The sequence below is a fragment of the Homo sapiens genome, chromosome 8, assembly GCF_000001405.40.
Source record: "Homo sapiens chromosome 8, GRCh38.p14 Primary Assembly".
Taxonomy (NCBI): Eukaryota; Metazoa; Chordata; class Mammalia; order Primates; family Hominidae; genus Homo; species Homo sapiens.
In genome coordinates this window covers 94217279-94236730 of record NC_000008.11, presented here as the reverse complement: position 1 = coordinate 94236730, position 19452 = coordinate 94217279, and the positions used below count along the sequence as shown (strand labels likewise).

The window sequence follows — 19452 nt, the reverse complement described above, 5'->3', positions numbered from 1 at the left end:
CTCAGCTCTTCCATAAATATTTTGGTCTCCTCTGTCCTTCAGAATTTAGTTTTCCTCTATAAAGTGAAAAGAGTTGGGCTAAATCAACTAATTCAAAAACGAACATTTACCAAGCTTTGATTATGCACGGGGCTCTGTGCTAGAGGGCCATGACATTATTATTATTATCATTATTGTTATTTTTTGAGACAGGGTCTTGCTCTGTTGGCCCAGGCTGGAGTGCAGTGACGTGATCTCGGCTCACGACAACCTCTGCCTCCGGGGTTCAAGGGATTCAGGGACGTGACATTACATCAGGCATGCTACATGCTCTTGTGAAGATGTGTGCAAGGCCTCCTGCCGCTGTCACATTCTGAGTCTGTGAAACAATGCCTGACTTTGGCAGCCCTTGGACACCGTGTGCTTTCACAGGCATTGTCACAACTGTGCTGAGAGACGCGTTGTTCTTCCCATTGGTTGGAGGTCAAGGGACTTGTCTAACGACACACGGCTATTAAGTAGCAGAACTGGGCTTGAATTCAGATCTGCTTCTCAGTCCAGTGTTCTCTGCTCTGTAACTGGCTGTGACTCTTCTCGCTCCTCCCAGATGTCCCCACGCAATGAAATAACAGCTATCATTTGCCAATCACTTACTTTGGGTCCTGACACAGGTATCATCTCATGGAAATCTCACGGCGCCTATGATTGTCATTTTATAGGGGAGGAAACAGGCTCAGAGAGGTTGAGTACTTTGCCCAGAATCCCACAGCTTGTCAGCAGCCTTTGATCCTGGGTCTGCCTGCCTCTGGAATCACCAGAGGGGATGGAGAGGACAATGGGCTCTGTTCCTGCCCAGAGAGCAGGAGCCTGTCCCTTTGGCAGATTCCCTCCTGGAGGAAGGGGGCAACCCAGAGGAGCCCAGGGAGCTGCTGCAAAGAGACCTTGGTGGATTCTCGGCTTGAAGGCCCGAGGCTGGGGCCTTGATGGGGAAACATCACAGACATTCAAGGCCCCAAAGCCATCCCAGGTCCCACGGACTCAGAAGCCCCTAATAAGTGCCAGCGGAGAGGCGGGAGCACTGGGCCACTTTCCAAAAGGGATCTGGGAACTGGTGGGAAAGGCACTGCTAAGGGTTGAGGCCCTCCCGTATCCCAGTGCCTGCCATCTGGGATCCTGCAAACTTCAGGCCCAAAAGGCCTTTCTTCTTCCTGAAGCCTGCCTTGGTCCCCTCTATCTAGCGCTTGGCGGGTACAGCGAGTACCATATTCACCTGAGCCACGCAGTGTCCTCACCTCAGGGCTGCTGCGTGACCTCCTGCCATTGTGGGAAGGCTGAAAAATCACGAGGTGCACCCCCAACCCACAGATGGGGAGTGGAGGCTTAAAGGGGATAGAAATAGCTCACCTCACTCTCCACCAACAGAAAGGGGTTGGGCTGAAGCCCTGACCTCAGTTTCTAGAGACATAGGTGGAGTTGACCTGCCACATGGGTGGATGGAGCTCACACCTACTCTCTGTGGCCCCTTTATCTCATCACAACCCCGCGAGGCAAGCAGTAGAGTCTCCCTTCTACCAAGAGGCTAGGAGAGGTTCAATAACTTAGCCCAGGACACTCAGTGAAAGGACAGGATTCTAACTCCAGCCCTTCTGGATTCCAAGCCAGGGATTCCCAACTACACCCTCTGGGCCCCTCTCCCTCCCCTCCTGTGATTTTCCAGACTTGGAGGGCTGGAAGTAGGGCTGGCAGTTCACTGGATATGAGGGAACCCAGGCGGTCCCTTAAGGTAGGTGTGTGGCTGTAAGTGGGGTCCTCATTGCCTGCTGAAAGCTGGCCCCGCAGGCCCTGGTCTTTAACCTGCAAGCAGCCGTGCTAAGCTCAGCCTCAGCTATTAGCAATAGGAAGTGTGTGGGAAGCGCAGAAGCTCCGAGGGGACCTTTTAAGGTAGCCGGCAGCTCAGGCACAGGCCTGGGAGGAGTAAACAGAGCGCCCCGAGATGAAGCTGGAAGCGCCGGGTTGCGGGGGTGATCCCAGTCCTGAGCCCCAGGAGAGGGGGCTCTGACAACTGCGAGGTCACCCCCCAGTGACAGACGGCAGTGAATGAAGGTCACGGCCTCCACAGAGATGGTGCGAGATGGTGTGAGGCAGGGCAGCATCTCTGAGTCACCGCGGGAGACGCCCACAGTCTTGCCCCGGAACCCAGGGACTCGGCCCGCGCTGTCTCCACACTGCCCTCCCATAAAACACGGGATTCATTGTCATAAAAGCTCCTCACCCACAGGCGGCTGCACACTGGCTTTGCCCTCAGCGCGAGGAAAAGGCGCTTCACTTTCTACCAATTCTCATCTGACCTGCCCGAGTCCTCAGGGATGGGCTCCCCCGCGCTGGGAGGGGAAATTCTCTGCCAGGGATGCAGGGAGAGGGAGGCGCAGCTCGGGATTCCTCCAGACTCTGAAGCGCCAGAGGGCGGATGGGGGAGCTGTGCGAAATACTCAAGACAAAACCCGAGCAGATGGGGAAGAAATGGGCTTAACTGTCCGCTTTCCCACCTGCGGGCGACCTGGGGCGGTATAATGAAGCCTATTCTCTTGGAATTTGAAAGAGAAATCAAGCGGCAGTTGTTTTTGTCTTTTCTCCTCAAGAAACATAATTTTTTATTTTATTTTATTTTTATTTTTTTGGACGCAGAGTCTTGCTCTGTCGCCCAGGCTGGAGTGCAATGGCGCGATCTCGGCTCACTATATCCTTCGCCTCCCGGGTTCAAGCAGTTCTCCTGCCTCAGCATCCCAAATAGCCATCCCAAATAGGGATGACAGACATGTGCCATCACGCCTGTCCAATTTTTAAAAATTTTTTTATTTTTATTTATTTATTTATTTTAGTAGAGACGGGGTTTCACCATGTTGGTCAGGCTGGTCTCGAACTCCTGACCTCAGGTGATCCACCCGCCTCAGCCTCCCAAAGTGTTGGGATTACAGGCGTGAGCCACCTCGCCCGGCCACAGTTTTTTTAGGGGGGAAATTCCCAGGATACCCACATGACTTTGACTCTGTGTCCGCAGAGAGGGGTGGAAGCAGGAGCTGTGGGGCGGGCTCTTCTCGGTTCAGATGCTCCCTGTGACCCCGAGTGTGTCGTGGTTTTCCCTACTGTACCACGTGAGGGGCAGCAAACACTTGTGTGTGTGTGTATGTGTGTATGAGTGTGTGTGTATGTTTGTATGAGTGTGTGTGTATGAGTGTTTGTATGTATGTGTGTGTGCGAGTGTGTGGTGTGTGTGGAAGTGTGTGGTGAGTGTATGTGTGTGGTGTGTGTATGTTAGGGTGTGTGTGTGTACGTGTGTGTGAGCGTGTGTGTGTGTGTGGCTTCTCTGCGCTTTGGAGCAGAGCACAAACTCTGGGGAGGAGGAATTGGGTAACTGCAGTAAGTCATGGGACCCCAGGCTGCTTCTCAGCTCCTGATGGAGGACCAGTGCCGCCAGGTGGGGGAGGACGTTGTGAGCACAGGAGCTGACACACTGGCTTCTGCTGAAAACAGTGGAGGGGAAATTAAGGAAGCCAATAGGAGTGCTCATTGGAGTGAAAAGTCTCAGGCGGCTGATTGGGATGGGAGAATCTGGATCTGAGGATTTGGGATCACTTTATTCACGCTTCAAATAAGAATTTGGAAGTCTCCACATTCATGTACAACATTTATTTTTCTTTGTTGACAATTTCTTCCTTTATTTTTCCTGTTATTCCCTCCCCCGCCCCTCCGCGCTATTCACTAGTGCAGTGAGGGCCTGGGAGTTTGGAGTTCCGGGAAAAAACATTCAGAACTCTGACCAGCTAATTAGATCTACTCAGAGAGCTTGAGTCAGGCACACCTGGTTCCACCACTTCCCGGGTGAGTTATCCTGGGGAGGTTACTTAACCTCTCCAATCCTTGGATTTCTCACTTATAAAATGAGGGTGATAAATCTCTCCCTGTCATGGTGGGTATGAGGATTGGATGCAAGGGTCTGCTGCAGGTGTGTTTCTAGCCCTCCAGCCTGACAGTGTCACCCTTTTCTTTAATATCCCAACAGACTCACCCAAGGCCCATTCCACATGCTCTGGCTTGTCCAATCTCCCCTCCCTCACTGCTCTGGGAATTCTGTGGGGGATTTGCTTTCCTTCCTGATAACCTCCCACCCTGGTTTCCTGCCTCTTTGGAGCTGTGAAGCCCCCTCTGCATCTTTCCTGCCACGACTTCCCTTCTGTATTCCCTCTTCTTCCCCTTCCACTATGTACTAGGAAAGGCATCATTCACCAGGGTTGTGTGTTTATGGAAGATTTGGGCCTATTTGGGGTGGTTTAAGGGGGTTTACAGCCCAGATCAGATAACAACTTAAAACTGAGTGCTAGACATTACCCTCTTATGTCTCTCCACCTTCTCACTGGCCATTTAGCTAATTCGACATAACCATCCTCAAATCATCCCCAAACTCAGTTATCACAATCCTGTGTATTAGCAATTTAGGATCAGCTGGGTGGCTCTTCCAGCTTCTGCTGGATTTTCATATGGGTCTTCAATGAACTGTGGGTCCATTTGCTAATCTTGCTGGGACCCTCTCACATGTCTGGAGGCTTGGCTGGGACACTTGGGCTCTGGTTCATGTGGTCTGTCAACTTGAAGCGGATGAGCCTTAGGCTTGTTTGTGGACATGGTGAGTGAGTGTGATGCAAGATTTCTGAGACCTGGGCTTGAACTGGGACTCCACTGCATTCTGCTGGTCAAAGCAAGTCACAGGGTCAGCCCATATTCAAGGAAAGGGGAAATAGACACCATGTTTGAATGGGAGAAGCTCCAAAGCCGTATTGCAAAGGACATGGCCACAGAAGTAGTGAAGTATTGTATCCACTTTTTGCAACCTTCCATGCCGTCTTCCCCGTCAGGGTCTCACCTATTGTCCTGTTGCTGGATCTTCAGTGTCTCCACCTGGACTAGAGCTCTTTCCCAATATTATCTTCTGCCTATTCTATGGGCCCCGACTCTTCTTTCTTTTTGAAGAAGTCTCCAAATTATTGTATAATATTTATTTTCCTTTGTTGACAATTTTTTTTCTTTCCAATCATGTTCACAACTGAAAAATATCCTAAGTGTGTTTGAACGAAGTAAACCAGTGGTTCTCAACACGCTGGGCACAAGAGTGATCTGCAAAGTTTAAAAAATTTACTGATATCTGGGTTCCACACCCAGGTCTGGGGTAGGTTTTAGATATTGCTATTGCTTAGAAGGTCCCCAGGTTGTTCTAAAGTGTAGCTAGGGTTGAAAACTACTGGAATACATTAAAACACCATGTACCTCTGAGATGAATTTCTCACCTAAAATATGGACATCTACAAGCTGTTTTTATTTTTTGTTTTTCTTTACACGAACAGTTTCCTTTTTCCTATTCCATTGATAAAGCATCCAGTGCATTTCAGGTGCTCACTACATATAAGCTATCATCATTGTTACTCCTGCTATCATAGGCAGTATAATGTTGTGGTGAAGAAGGATTCTGAAGATGGGTCACCTCCCCTCTCTCTGCCTCAGTTCCCTCATCTGAAAATGAGGATAATTAAAATTCCTTCTTCATAAATAGCTACCTACATCATAGGATTGTTGTGAGGGTGAAATGTCTACATGGTTATACTGAGATGCACAGTAAGTGTTCCGTAAGCAGTGGATAGCGTGTCATTCCTGTTTTATTCATTCAGCATCCCATGGTTTACTAAGCTTATCCTCAGTTTGCTTTACTCTTTGGTCCAGTTTCCAAGCAAATGTGATGACAATGGGTAGAGAGGTGGTGCTGCCTTTATTCTGGGCTGGGGCATGCTAGTGTTGGAAGAATGCAAAAGAGACACTTCCACTGCTTGGGGGAACCCTTAGCTCTGCCAACTGTAGATTATTAAGAACATTAAGAAAATTCTGTGGCAAACTTGTGTCTCCCCTTTCTTTTCCAAGTTGAGTTTTCTTCAGCCCAACATTCGTTTTGTGTGCCTCACACTTGTGCAAGTGCTTGAGTAGTGTGTGACGGGCATACTTAGCTCAGTGCAGATGTCTTGGAAATAGTAGATGTGGGCAAAGATGTGAAAATCTGCTAACAGGAGCCTAGGCCAGGTCTGAGTGCCAGCCCGTGGGGGAAGCCAGCAGCACACTGGGTAGGGGCAGGGGGACAGAGGACATCTTGGAATTACAGGGAGTCTGAGTCAGCAGGACCCTTTGACATTTAAATACACATACAAGGAAACCGAATCTAGAAGAGTTAAGCACATTCGAAGTCAGGCAGCTGGTGATTGGTAGAGCTCTGACTAGGGAAATCGTGGAAATTGCAGCTGTTATTCTTTGCATCCTGTGTCAGGAGTTGTGTTAGGTCTTTTTTGTTTGTGATAAGGTCTCACTCTGGCACCCACGCTGGAGTGCAATGGTGTGATCATGGCTCACTGCAGCCTCAGCCTCCTGGGCTCAGGTGATCCTCCCACCTCAGCCTCCCAAGTAGCCAGGACTGCAGGTGCATGCCACCACGCCTGTCTTACATTTTTTTGTATTTTTTATAGAGATGGAGTTTGACCATGTTGCCCAGGCTGGTCTTGAACTCCTGGACTCAAGTGATCTACCTGACTTGGCCTCCCAGTGTGCTGGTATTACAGGCATGAGCCACCTTGCCTGGCCGTCTTTAGTATTTTAGTAACATCTTACTAAACTCAAGAAGTAGATATTACTGGCTCCATTTTGTAGTTGAGAAAACTGAGGCTTAAAGATGTTATGACAGGCCGGGCGCAGTGGCTCATGCCTGTAATCCGAGCACTTTGGGAGGCTGAGGCAGGTGGTTCACCTGAGGTCAGGAGTTCGAGACCAGCCTGGCCAACATGGTGAAATCCTGTCTCTACTAAAAATACAAAAATTGTTCTGGCGTGGTGGCAGGTGCCTGTAATCCCAGCTACTCGGGAGGCTGAGGCAGGAGAATCTCCTGAACCCAGGAGGCGGAGGTTTCAGTGAGCTGAGATTGTGCCGTTGCACTCCAGCCTGGGGGACAAGAGTGAGACTTCATCTCAAAAAAAAAAAAAGTTATGATGTCACAGCAACCATGTGAAGAGTCAGGTCACAGTATTGCCTATAACACTGTGAGGACTGTTTAAGGCATTGGAATGACATCTTTTAAAACCCTATACAATTTCTTTTCATCTTGAAACAGATTGCTCACCTACCTACAGACCCTGAATGAGATTACCTCCATGGTATGACTTCAGGAAGACCCCATGTTAAAAAAAAATCTCTCCCCAAAAGTGAAAACCAGAAAACCCAAATCTCACTTCAGTTTCCTTTCATCTCATTCACTGAGATGTGAAAATGAATTAGTACTTAATTTAAGGTCTTAATTTCTGATAAAATAGTAACAGTCTTGAAAGAAACTAAACCTTAATGTGACCTAAAAGAAGCAACACGGTGTCAGGGAAGGAGTACCCACATCCCTTGTGAGTATGTGATCTCATATTTTCAGTAGCCTCCTCGGCCCAGTAAAAGCCATGTATGTGGAAAATTATAGAGAAATGGCACAGATAAGATCTTATTTAGTGGGAAAATATTTAAATTATAAAAATATTTGGAAAACATTCATTTTTTTTTAAATAAATGGGGTCTTTCTCTGTTGCCCAGGCTGGAGTACAGTGGCACAATCCTAGCTTACTGCAGCCTCAAACTCCTGGGCTCCAGCAATCTTCCCACCTCAGCCTCCCAAGTAGCTGGGACTACAGGCGTGCACCACCGTGCCCAGCTTTTAAAAAAAATTTTTAGTAGAGATGGGGTCTTGCTTTGTTGCCCAGGCTGGACTACAGGTGCACACCACTGTGCCCAGCTATTTTTTTTTTTTTAAATTTTTAGTAGAGACGGGTCTCGCCTTGTTGCCCAGGCTGGACTTGAACTCCTTGCTTCAAGCAATTCTCCTACCTCAGCCTCCCAAAGCGCTGCGATTACAGGCGTGAGCCACTATGCCTGGCCAGAAGACATACAATTTTATTATAGTCTTTATTATAAACCAATGGATGTGATACTATTACGCAAAATAAGATGGAGGAATTAAAAAAATGATAAATCTCAACAGACAGCAGGCCTGACAATGCCTCATAAGCACAAAAACATTATACAATCAGAATGCCATATAATAGAGTGGTTACGTTTTTAGACTTGGGAATCAGACTTCCTGGCTTCAAATCCTGGTGGTACCAATTCACTAGCTGAGTTACTTTGTGGAAGTTTACTTATGCTCCTTAGGTCAGAGTTTCCTCACTAGAAAATAGTAATAATAGTAAGTACATCATGGCTAATGCTTTCAGATCGGAATGAGTTAATGTTATCTTTTTCCTGGTGCAGGACCCTCTGTACAGGAATCTTGTCATGGTTATCACCTTATTGCTAGCAATGTGGTTTTTGAATTAAAGCAACCATTTTCCTAGTTTCTGATCATTATCTTTGTACTAAACAGCCTGGGATTACCCCTCTGCAACTATAATTTAGGACATGCACATAGCTGCCTTGACTTAGATGGACTGATCTTGCACTGGTTTTCAGCTTGGCTCTGACATTCAGAACTTTGGCAAATGTGCACTGGTCAAGTGTTTGCAGCGAGAGGCACTGCAGAGGGGAAGGCAGGCCCTCCTGTGTCGCTTTCACTAGGAGGTGGCCGTGGCAGAACTAGCTTCCTCTGAAGTACCAGGTGGGTGACATGCCATGGACTGGGGTGTGATTCTCACTCATGTCTGCATCTAGAATGCCTGTGGTTCTACCACACACTCGGCCTCGCCCCCATTTCCCAGGCCTCTGGTCCTACTGAAGGTCAGATAATGAACTAAGGCAGGAATAGGATTCTTTTTGCCATTTGATATACAAAGTTGTGGGGTGGGTCGAAAGAGGGCACAGGAGGAAGAAAGAAGGTAGACCACGTTCCCAGAACTAATCCCAACCCAAACTTTAAAAGCACACAGCTCAAGTGCTTCTATAACAACCACCTTTTCCATTTTTCCACCCTCTGAACATCCAGCCATGAACAAGGGCAGTTCTTTTTTATCCTTTTTTTTTTTGAGATGTAGTCTTGCTCTGTCACCCAGGCTGGAGTGCAGTGGTGCAATCTCAGCTCACTGCAACCTCCGCCTCCCGGGTTCAAGCAATTCTCCTGCCTCAGCCTCCTGAGTAGCTGGAATTACGGTCACGCGCCACCACGCACGGCTAGAACAAGGGCAGTGCTAAGCATGATCCACGGACATGGTTTCCCAAGGGGAGCCCTGGAGTGGGTCGCTTAGGGTACTGTGCGGGGCCAGCTAGAGAGACAAAAGAGCAGCCCTGTCATCAGTTGCCTGCATCTCAGTAGTTCTTTGGAATAGCTCTGCCACCAACTACAAGCAACCGTTAGCCTAAGCTTGGCAGTTGGCCGACATCAGAGGCCTGGCAGATGGCCCATGTGGGAGCCCTTCCAGGACCTCAGTCGGAATCTCCAACAGATGACATTTGCCTAGAGAGTGTGGTAGGTTGGGCAATTCTTGCTCCCATAAGCATCTACAAATCTCTTTAGCAGGAGAGGTTCTGGTTTGCAGGCCATGGGCTTGGATGCATATCTGTCTGTGAGTGCTCCTTCCCACACATCCCCTAACCAGAGATGGAATCCTGGAACAAAGTGTACTACTCCACGCTCAACATCGCAGGTTTCTTCTGTTACAGACATTTGCTGACATTCTTGTTTTCCTTACCTGTGGGGCAGCATGGAGAGAAATCACAAGAGACATTTGAGGACTTGTGTTGAAATTTAGATTCTTCCATCTTTTAGCAATGGATGCTGGGGCAAGTCACTTAATTGAAAAGAGTTTCTTTATCTGTGAGATGGGGATAGAACAATATTTACCTGAGACGTTTTAAAAATGGCATCGTAGGTAGATAATGAATGCTGTTTTTCAGAATCGATGAATTATTTTTCTCATGAAAGAAGAGATGAAGTCCTACTTGGAATTGATGCAATAATGCTCAGTGCTCCTCTCCTCAGGTATGGACTTCTCCGAGGGTCTCAAGATAGCCCTGGTGGTTGGCATCACACCTTGATGCTTCCTTCCTCACTTTGTTTGTTTTTTGAGATGGAGTCTCACACTGTTGCCCAGGCTGGAGTGCAATGGCGCGATCTCGGCTCACTGCAACCTCCGCCTCCCGGGTTCAAGAGATTCTCCTGCCTCAGCTCCTGAGTAGCTGAGACTACAGGCGTGTGCCACCATGCCTGGCTAATTTTTGTATTTTTAGTAGAGATGGGGTTTTGCCATGTTGGCCAGGTTGGTCTCGAACTCCTGACCTTAGGTGATCCGCCCACCTTGGCCTCCTACAGTGCTGGGGTTACAGGCGTGAGCCACTGCACCCTGCATTTCTTCCTTACTTTGTGATAAACTTTGCTCGTGTGTGTGTGTGTGTGTGTGTGTGTGTGTGAGAGAGAGAGAGAGAGAGAGAGAGAGATGGAGACAGAGACAGAGGGAAGGAGGGAGAGATTAGAGATTATGATGGTTAATTTTCTGTATCAACTTGGCTGGGCCATGGTGTCCAGGTATGCAGTCAAACACAATTCTGGATATTTCTGTGAGGGTGTTTTGGATGAAATTACCATTTTAATCTGTGCACCGTGAGTAAAGCAGGTTGCCCTCCCTAGTACCGGTGGGCCTCATCTGATCTGTCAAAGGCCTGAAAAGAACAAAAGACTGACTTCCTCCAACAAGATGGAATTCTGCAGCAGACAGCTGGCCTTCGGACTCCAGCCAAAACGCTGGCTTTTCCTGGGTCTTCAGCCAACCAGCCCACCCTGCGGATTTTAGATTTGCTAGCCTGTAATTGCATGGGCCAATTTCTTAAAAGAAATCTTTCTGTGTAGAGATACATATCCTATTGGCTCTGTTTCTCTGGAGAGCACTGACTCAGAGAGATACGAGAGACAATGAGAACATTGGCATTCTCTCTTTCTCTCTTTTTTTCCCTGAGACAGGGTCTCACTCTGTCACCCACGCCGGCATGCAGTGGCACGATCTTGACTCTGCTTCCCAGGCTCAAACGATTCTCCAATCTCAGCCTCCTGAGTAGCTAGGACTACAGGCACATGGTGGCCACACCCTGCTAATTTTTGTATTTTTTTGTAGAGATGCAGTTTTGCCATGTTGCCCAAACTGGTCTCGAACTCCTGAGCTCAAAGCAATTTGCCCGCCTTGGCCTCCCAAGCTGGAATGACAGGCGTGAGCCACTGCACCCCGCCAACATTGGCATTCTCTGCTGCCTTCTCTGGACTGAGGAACTTCACTCAACAACTGGGCTCACAGCCCTTTTTCCGCAGAGATTTTGTGGAATAGCCTTTTTGTCTCATGCCTGCTTTTCATTTATTTGCTTGTTTGAGATAAATTAAAAGCAGAAAATGAAGGAATCGTTTGGTGATTATTAGATTGCACTACGTTTAAGTGAATCTTAACTCAAAGTAAGACCAAAGACACACACCTATTCCACTTTTGAAGATAAAAGACAACACAAGCCAGTTTCTACCAACCTAGTTCTATTATAAGTACCTATAAGATAAGCATCATGATTTAATAATTATAATATGATAATAATAACAATAGATGCCACTTAGGAGCCCTTGACAGTTTGGGCAGACACAGGCCCTTTACATATGTTATTACTTAAACATAATTGATGCCAGAGACCTTACTCAATGCATTGAGGCATCACTGCAGGCTCGCAAATTATAGTGCTTAATTTCTTCTTAGAAATGATATATTATGAAATAACTGTCTCCAGACATTTTTCTGTCATATACTTTCCAGTTCAGCTCTAAGTCTATCTTCTCCACAATCTTCAAGTGATGCAGTAAATATGTATGCTGCAGAGGGTCATGTTTGTCTAGATCCAATGGTAGAAAAGCCAGCGTGGTCTGAGAATGTGTTATTCTGGCTAATCAGGTATTCTGGTTCTATGGATTTCACATGACCATTTGTGGCTGAACAGTGTCAGATAAACTTAACTCAATAAAATACATTTAATGCTTGGCCTCTTTGGAATATAATTGTGTTTTGATGATGAGTCATAAACTTCTTTAGGATATCTGGCCGCGTTTGAGTCATGTTTGTGGTCATCAGTTCTCATTGTATTGTATCCCTGCTTTCTAATCAATAGGATGCTAAATCAATTAGCTTTTATTGCATTACTTGCCACAGGGGAAAAGGGGCTGAATTTGTCTAAAATATCCTTCATGAGCTATTTAAAAGTGATATAAGATAATGGGAAAAAGGAGCTGGGAAATACACATTCTTTTTTTTTTGTTTTTCACCAGCACCTGCCAGGCTCTCTGAACACTTTTACATTTGCTGCCTAGATAAATGACTGTGGCATGATCTGTCTTCAGAACTCACTGGATTTCCTGAATATGCTATTGTCTTTCTTGCAAGGATTAGAATTTTGACCCAGGAAATGCTCTGTGTATGACCCCTGCAGCGACACCAACCACTGGTGTCCATAAAGTGCTGCTCCATGGCAAGTGAAACGCAGACAGTGGGGAAAGAGTTTTGCAGGCAGGCTGCCCTACGTTAGAGGACAAGCTACATCACTCACCAGCTGTGTGACCTTGAATAAGTTACTCAATTTCCCTGGACCTTCTTCTTTTCTGTCAAAATGTGATGATAATATCTGTGTCATGGTTGTTGGGGCAAGAGAGTTATAAAGGTTCAACGAGGCAATTAATGTAAACTGCTTAGTACATCGTCTGGAATGATAATTTACAAATGGCATGTGGTATAATTGTTTGTAACCTTGTCATCAGCTCAGATTTCCCTGACCAATGGAGATTCAGACAAAACTCTCTAGAACTTTAAATTATGCTGCAATGATCCCCAAAATTCCTGCAGATTCTGGAGGCTTAGTCTCAAGTGGACAATCTTCCCATTTTCCCTCCATCCCCCCTCACTCCCAGGCCACTGGCTTTGTGCCTGCATGTGCTATTTCTGTTTCACTTTGCACCCACCTGGACGTGAATCCCAGCTCAGAGGAGCGATTTTACACTATTCAGATGCTGACAAGGTAGAACAGTTCTCATGCTTCAATACTCATTTTAGTACTTCGACTTCCAAATTTTTCCTTCTAATTCAGAAATGTTCACTCAAATTTTCTGTAAGGCCAGATCAAGAATGTGAAATAAAGAAAATTCAGCACATGGTACTATGGTTGAGTAGTCTCTTCTTGGGCAGCTTTCCAGTGAGAACATGTTCATTTTTATCCTTAAGGAGGTAAATTACTTTGTTATTTTATAAAAATCACCATTCACCCAATTATTGACCCAGACCCTCGGTTCAAAAACAAGAGCAGGATGTGTGTTTGTGTGTGTGTGTGTGTGATTTTTCACACTTTGATATTTTTAATAGAAAATTTAAAACATAAGCAAAAGTAGAGAGAATAATGTAATGAGTTAATGAACCCCCGTATGCCATCACCCAGCGTAGGGAAGAATCAGCTCATGCCCAGTCTTATTTTATCTCTGCTTCCCCACACCACACTAGCCACCCCGTTCAACCCAAATGGATTCTTTTGAGGCAGATCCAAGGCAGCAAACCATTTTGTCCATAACGATGTCCATATGTATTGGTAAATGATAAGAACTCTTCTTAAAAACTAAAACCACATAACCATTATCATACTTAAAAATAGATGACATTCAAATTTCTCTAATTGTATTATTTTTTTCCTTTTTTATTTTTTGAGAGTTGGTTTGTTTCAACATTCTTTTGAATTTTTTTTTTAATGTACAGGTTTCTTCTCTCCTTTGTTTTTCAGTTTATATATGGAAGAAGCAGAGGCATTGTCCTGCAGTTTCTCACATTTGGTATTTTGCTGATTGCAACCCTGAAGTGCATTTCATCTGCAACCGTTTTTTTCTGACCAGCGTTTCTTATAAATGCTAGACTCTAGAATTGGAAGTTTGAGCTGATTCAAGTCCAACTTATTTGCCAAGAATCCTCCATTAGAAGTATCGCATACTTCTCTTAGGAGACGCATACGGACCAGTTGTCTCTGTGATGCAGCAGCTGCTGATGGTCTTTGTTTACATCCATTATTTCAGTAGGGGTTGCAAAATGGCAATATTTTAATTCTATCATTCCTTAATTTATTATTTGAGAGACTTACATAAAGAGAAACTTTACCTTGAAAAATTACCCTGATACACTGTTTATACAGCAAGGACAGGCAAAACCCTTGATTCCTGCCCCGTATTTTCATGTTTATAATGTGGTTCCCTGGCATCCACTAAAGGTGGTCAGTGAGTATTTGCTGTCAAGTGTAATTATGATCTCATGGATTTTAACACATTTGATTTGTTTAAATTCATCAAAGTCATTGTTCTTACTTGTTCTCAAATTTTTCCATACTTTCCAAGTGATAGCCACTTAATTTTGGCTTCTAAATGCTTCGAAACAATCACAGTTTTTAGTAAATTCCTTGGTGTCTGGTATGTCAAATGTGCTAGGCACATGTACTTTTCCTGCCCCAGAACTATGGTCAGCAATTTCTCCAAGGAGGCTTGATTCCTTTAAATATCATTTTCCAATGATTTTTCAAAATTATAGGGCCAGGCCCAGCATTTTGGGAGGCTAAGGCAGGCGGATCACTAGGTCAGGAGTTTGAGACTAGCCTGACCAACATGGTGAAACCCCGTCTTTACTAAAAATACAAAAATTAGCTGGGTGTGGTGGCACATGTCTGTAATCCCAGCTACTTGGGAGGCTGAGGCAGGAGAATCACTTGAACCTGGGAGGCGGAGGTTGTGGTGAGCTGAGATTGTGCCACTGCACCCCCCAGCCTGGGCAACAAGAGTGAAACTCTGTCTCAAAAAAAAAAAAAAAAAAAATTATAAGCTGGCTTTAGGGCTGCCCATTGCTTAAGAATTGGTCATTGTTCCCAGCTTTTTTCAGTGGACAGAATTGAAAACACTACTTTAAAGAAAATGCATCGTGAGTTCATACTAATATTTTGAACTTGAATTTAGTATCACAGCGTTTTTTAAAATTTAGCTCCTTTGATTTTATATTTATCTATCTTCTCTCTTCTACCTAAAATCTTGGTTGCAGACAATATTAACATAATTACTTACTTGCCTTACTATATATATTTTAGAATAATTAATATTGATATCATTGCTAAAAGTGTGATTTCTGAAAACAGTGTAAGATTTCTTTTTGTTTTTGTTTTTGTTTTTTGAGACAAAGTCTCGCTCTGTGGTCAGGCTGGAGTGCAGTGGCACAATCTCAGCTCACTGCAACCTCTGCCTCCCGGGTTCAAGCGATCCTCCTGCCTCAGCCTCCCAAGTAGCTGGGACTATAGGCGTGCACCACCACGGCCAGCTAATTTTTTATATTATTAGTAGAGACGAGGTTTCACCATGTTGGCCAGGATGGTCTCAATCTCTTGACTTCATCATCTGCCTGCCTCAGCCTCCCAAATTGCTGGCATTACAGGCATGAGCCACCACGCTTGGACAACAGTCTAAGATTTTTCTAGGTAAATTTTGGTATCTGACTGTGTACTCTTCTAGGTCTCTTATGCTATTCTGGAATCAAATTGATTACCGGAAAGCTATATCCTGGATGGATCTCATTAACTAACACTGCTATGGAAAGTCTTTACTCAGTTGCCCTTTAATGTTCCGTCCTTTGCTTTCATCAAGGGCGGACATAGAAAAATGCCAATACAGAGAATGTCTCCATATCTTCTACACAATCACTGCAAAGAGATTTCCTCTTATATTGTCAACCTGAATGACAGAGAAATGCTTTCTAAAATAAAATATTTATTTGGGTATAGATCATTGCAATGGGAATATGCCTGCCATAGTAAACTATGCATGGATTCAGGGAGGTAAAGAAAGACAAAGGTTTTTAAAGGAAAAAATGAGGAGGATTACATAATTATTTGGAAATGATTATACTTGACCATAAAGATTAATAACAAGGGTGATCCCAATGCAGTTGAACAGGCAGTTGCTGGGCAGATATCCTTGTAGAAGTATTTTTTGTGTAAGGTTGCAGTGGCCATTGTGCAAGATTGTGGTTTTTGAGGCTTTTGTGATAGTTTTGTTATTAGGCATACAAGCATGAGAACCTGTCTTCATGGTCTTCCACAGGCCTATTTGTCAGGGTTTGTTTTGATTTTTAACAGTGCCAACTCCATTTTGATTCTGGCAATTTCACAATTGTTAGGTGAATCTAGAATTGGTTTGATTTGATCCAGATACAATGCTTTCGGCAAGAATCCTTCCTAAGTAGCATTTCATATCTAGGAGGAGGCACACAATGACCAGCTGTCTCTCTTTCTGTGAGGTAGCAGCCATGGATGACCCTTGCCTAGACTTACTTCCATAGAGGTTTGTGAAATGATAATATTTTAATTTTATTGCCCTCTCTTCGTTTATTAGCTGGAGGATTTCTAGAAGAGAAACTTTTCCTCATGATCCACAGCCCATGGCAAACATGATTGAAGCCTGGAAAAGCTAAGGAAAGTGATCACCAGTTGCCTTCCCCAATCTTAGGAGAAACTTAGTGACTCCAGGCAGCGTCTGAAATGGAGACCAATGTATTTAGACAGTGCCGTCTGGGGGAATTTATGTAAATATGCCGCAGAGGGATAAGAGCATAAGAGTTAATAGGGCTGGTTTAACATTGCCTACTTGAATATTAGAGTTTGCCCCAAGCAACGATTTTAGTTTTGGCATAAATTCTTCCAATTCTTTTTTAGACTGTTGTAAAACAGAGTCAGTTACCTACGAAGGCCTCTTCTGGTTGGTAGCAGTAAAGCCACCACAAGGGCAAGTGATGAGAGAAGGGCATGGCCACGGTGTCGGGGTAGAGGTGGTGACTAGGACATCGCATAGATTAGGAACAGCCTTCACAGTGGCAACGGTTGTGAGTCAGCATGCCTGATTCAAATCCTGGCTTTGTCACCTGCCAGCTATGTGAACTTGAGCAAGATATTTGACTTCCCTGAGCCTCAGATTCCTCAACTGTAAATGGGGATTGGCGATTTGACTTGCCTTTCAGATTTGTGCACATTAGAGATAACATAAGCCAAACACTTTGCCCAGTGCCTGGCACAGAACAGACGTCAGCTAACTAGAGGTCACAAAGTAACTGTTTAATTAAATAGTTAAGTGAAAATTGAGCCCACCCCTAAATCCAATACATGAACATTTCTGGTGGCAAAGTAACCTGTGAGTCTTTAAACTAACTTTAGATAGACTCTATGCAATTCGGCTATAAGTGTGCAAGTTTCCCGCTGCGAAGGGTTCTAGACTTCACAAAATATGAAGACATTGCTGCAGAATTATAAAGTCAGGGCAATGATTTAGTGGCTACCTACAGGAATCAGAGTTCCCACCGTGCTTCCCAAAGCCATTTGCTGAGAAATATTAATAGTACGACAAAATCATGTTCACTGTGATGTCTAGTGACCCATCTTAAGGTCTCTCACTGAAGCTTGCTGTATTTTATTTTTTAAAATAGAAACTTGTAAGAGGATCTGAACTTGACTTTCTGTGGCTTTCTCTGTATTTGGTCTGGTATGTTAATGACACCAGGTTTTAATTTTAGCTTCCTAACGGCCTAGGTAATAGCACGAGATAGGGTGATCGGCCACCAGTTGCTTAGGCTTGTGACAGATAAGGCTAACTGCTATCAGTTTCTGGTCTGAGTGTGGGTGGAAGATGAATGAAAAATACTTTTAAGTCAGGGCAAGTAGAGCTGAAAGGCTCTTTAGAAAAGTAATTTATAGAAAATGTTGGAATCTCCTCTTTATACCTTCAACATGTACTGAAATAACTTGGTACCGTTTTTAGACAAACAGGGTTCAGATCTCCCTAACAAAGACCTGTAATCCACCTTAGTTTTTACTTCCTTGGTTGGGCCATTATATTTATGAGCCCAAACAGACAGAGGAGGGGTGTGATATCGAGGGTCCACATTAGAATTCCCAAACCCATATTGGTGAAGAATATCAAGGCCAAAGAATAGCCTTGGAATTGGGATTCAGTCCCAATTTGCCAGTCTCTAAATTTTTGGTCTTAAATAGTGTTATGCCCAACCCCTATTAATCTTATAGGGATTCAGGGTTCGAAAACCTCTGGCACAAGATTCAAGAGGCTGAAGAGCCCCAGAGCCAGCAAATGAGACATGGGATTTTACTGCGGGTTCACATGCAGGGGGACAGGGTCCAGCAGCAGTGGGCTATACAGGAGAAGTGCAACTACTTGCAAAAAGCATCAGTTTATACAACATTTTCACTTAACACCCTCCCCTAACAACCTCCATCTGGCAACCTTCATTAAACCCAAAACAAAGGACCTCCATCCCCAGTATGGCCCATGTTCCATGGGATGGGGGCGGAGGGTGGAAGGTGCGGTGGGAGATGCTCAGATGTTCCTCATAGACAAGGAACCAATCTCCGCGTTGACCACTCCCGGATTCCCGAGCTCAGAACACACATTGAGGTGCATCTGCCCTGCAGGAGCATGCTCAGATTATGCTTAAGTTATTGCTGTCAGGTGTGTCTACCTTAAAACCAATATGCCTTAAAGAATACCAGCCTAATTATTAGGGAGCTGAATCAAGATTGGGAGAAATAAGTTCTCATTGCCCATGTCAAGCTCAGGAAATATGCCATTGACACTGAGTCCCATGGGACTGGGTCCCTGGTAATTCTTTTTTTTATTTTTTATTTTTTTACTTTTACTTTTGGTAATTCTTTCTATACTTCTTTGCTTTGTGACCAGAAAAGAAAAGGAACCTGTATTCCAGCGATATAAAAAAAATGATTTCAAAAAGTCCAAGGTCCTTACAGACCATGTTAAATTCCAGAACAAAGATCAGCAGGTCAGCATTGCTGTATTGGGAGCCACTTTCTACCCTGGTCCTGAAGAGGATTTTCAATATTGAGGGAGGGTACATTTTAGAAAGTCCACTGAATCGAGATAATTCAGTTATTGCTGGGGGCAAGGTACTCCTGGCATTATGCACAACTCTGAATAGTACCGGTTGGCTACCCCTGGCTTGTCTGAGTTGAGCCGAGCTACACTGAAGTTAACCACTTCCTCAGTAGCTGTGGGAGAGGATGCCTGCCTCCTGGACAGCTGAAAGAGAGCAGCTGCATTTGAGGGGGTCAGGTGGTGCTATTGCTCTGTAACGGGGGTCAGGTGGTGCTATTGCTCTGTAACAAGGGAAATGGGGAGGAAATATAAAGGGATATCAGCTGGAGCGGAGCTGTGGCGGGAAACGCTATAGGGGATAAAGTGGTGGGTATTACTGGTTCATGAAAATGCTACCTAAGCAGGCTTTTCAGCGAAGGCAGGATTCCCAACCATATAAAGCTCAGAAAGATCGAGTGGGAGGGGCGACTGGTGAGCATGTAATCACGGTGGAAGTATGATATTTT

General features: G+C 44.9%; 1 long non-coding RNA gene across 1 annotated transcript, besides 6 other annotated features; it reads left to right on the top strand.

Moving 5' to 3' along the window:
* Nucleotides 1098–1676: an enhancer, noted in NCBI's record as "H3K4me1 hESC enhancer chr8:95247283-95247861 (GRCh37/hg19 assembly coordinates)". NCBI's record gives its function as "activates a minimal SCP1, AML or CMV promoter by ChIP-STARR-seq in naive H9 embryonic stem cells {active_cell/tissue: H9 hESC(naive)}" and the evidence as "EXISTENCE:reporter gene assay evidence [ECO:0000049][PMID:30033119]".
* Nucleotides 1547–1646: an enhancer, noted in NCBI's record as "active region_27629". NCBI's record gives its function as "activates an Ori minimal core promoter by ATAC-STARR-seq in GM12878 lymphoblastoid cells {active_cell/tissue: GM12878}" and the evidence as "EXISTENCE:reporter gene assay evidence [ECO:0000049][PMID:35858748]".
* Nucleotides 1677–2255: an enhancer, noted in NCBI's record as "NANOG-H3K4me1 hESC enhancer chr8:95246704-95247282 (GRCh37/hg19 assembly coordinates)". NCBI's record gives its function as "activates a minimal SCP1, AML or CMV promoter by ChIP-STARR-seq in naive and primed H9 embryonic stem cells {active_cell/tissue: H9 hESC(naive and primed)}" and the evidence as "EXISTENCE:reporter gene assay evidence [ECO:0000049][PMID:30033119]".
* Nucleotides 1907–2246: an enhancer, noted in NCBI's record as "active region_27628". NCBI's record gives its function as "activates an Ori minimal core promoter by ATAC-STARR-seq in GM12878 lymphoblastoid cells {active_cell/tissue: GM12878}" and the evidence as "EXISTENCE:reporter gene assay evidence [ECO:0000049][PMID:35858748]".
* Nucleotides 2256–2835: an enhancer, noted in NCBI's record as "NANOG-H3K4me1 hESC enhancer chr8:95246124-95246703 (GRCh37/hg19 assembly coordinates)". NCBI's record gives its function as "activates a minimal SCP1, AML or CMV promoter by ChIP-STARR-seq in naive and primed H9 embryonic stem cells {active_cell/tissue: H9 hESC(naive and primed)}" and the evidence as "EXISTENCE:reporter gene assay evidence [ECO:0000049][PMID:30033119]".
* Nucleotides 2297–2346: an enhancer, noted in NCBI's record as "active region_27627". NCBI's record gives its function as "activates an Ori minimal core promoter by ATAC-STARR-seq in GM12878 lymphoblastoid cells {active_cell/tissue: GM12878}" and the evidence as "EXISTENCE:reporter gene assay evidence [ECO:0000049][PMID:35858748]".
* Nucleotides 8642–12041, top strand: LOC105375648 (uncharacterized). The gene is made up of 3 exons (XR_928424.4): nucleotides 8642–8692; nucleotides 9925–10009; nucleotides 11136–12041. It is a non-coding gene; the product is annotated as an uncharacterized LOC105375648 (long non-coding RNA).
* The last annotated feature ends 7411 nt before the right edge of the window (nucleotides 12042–19452 follow it).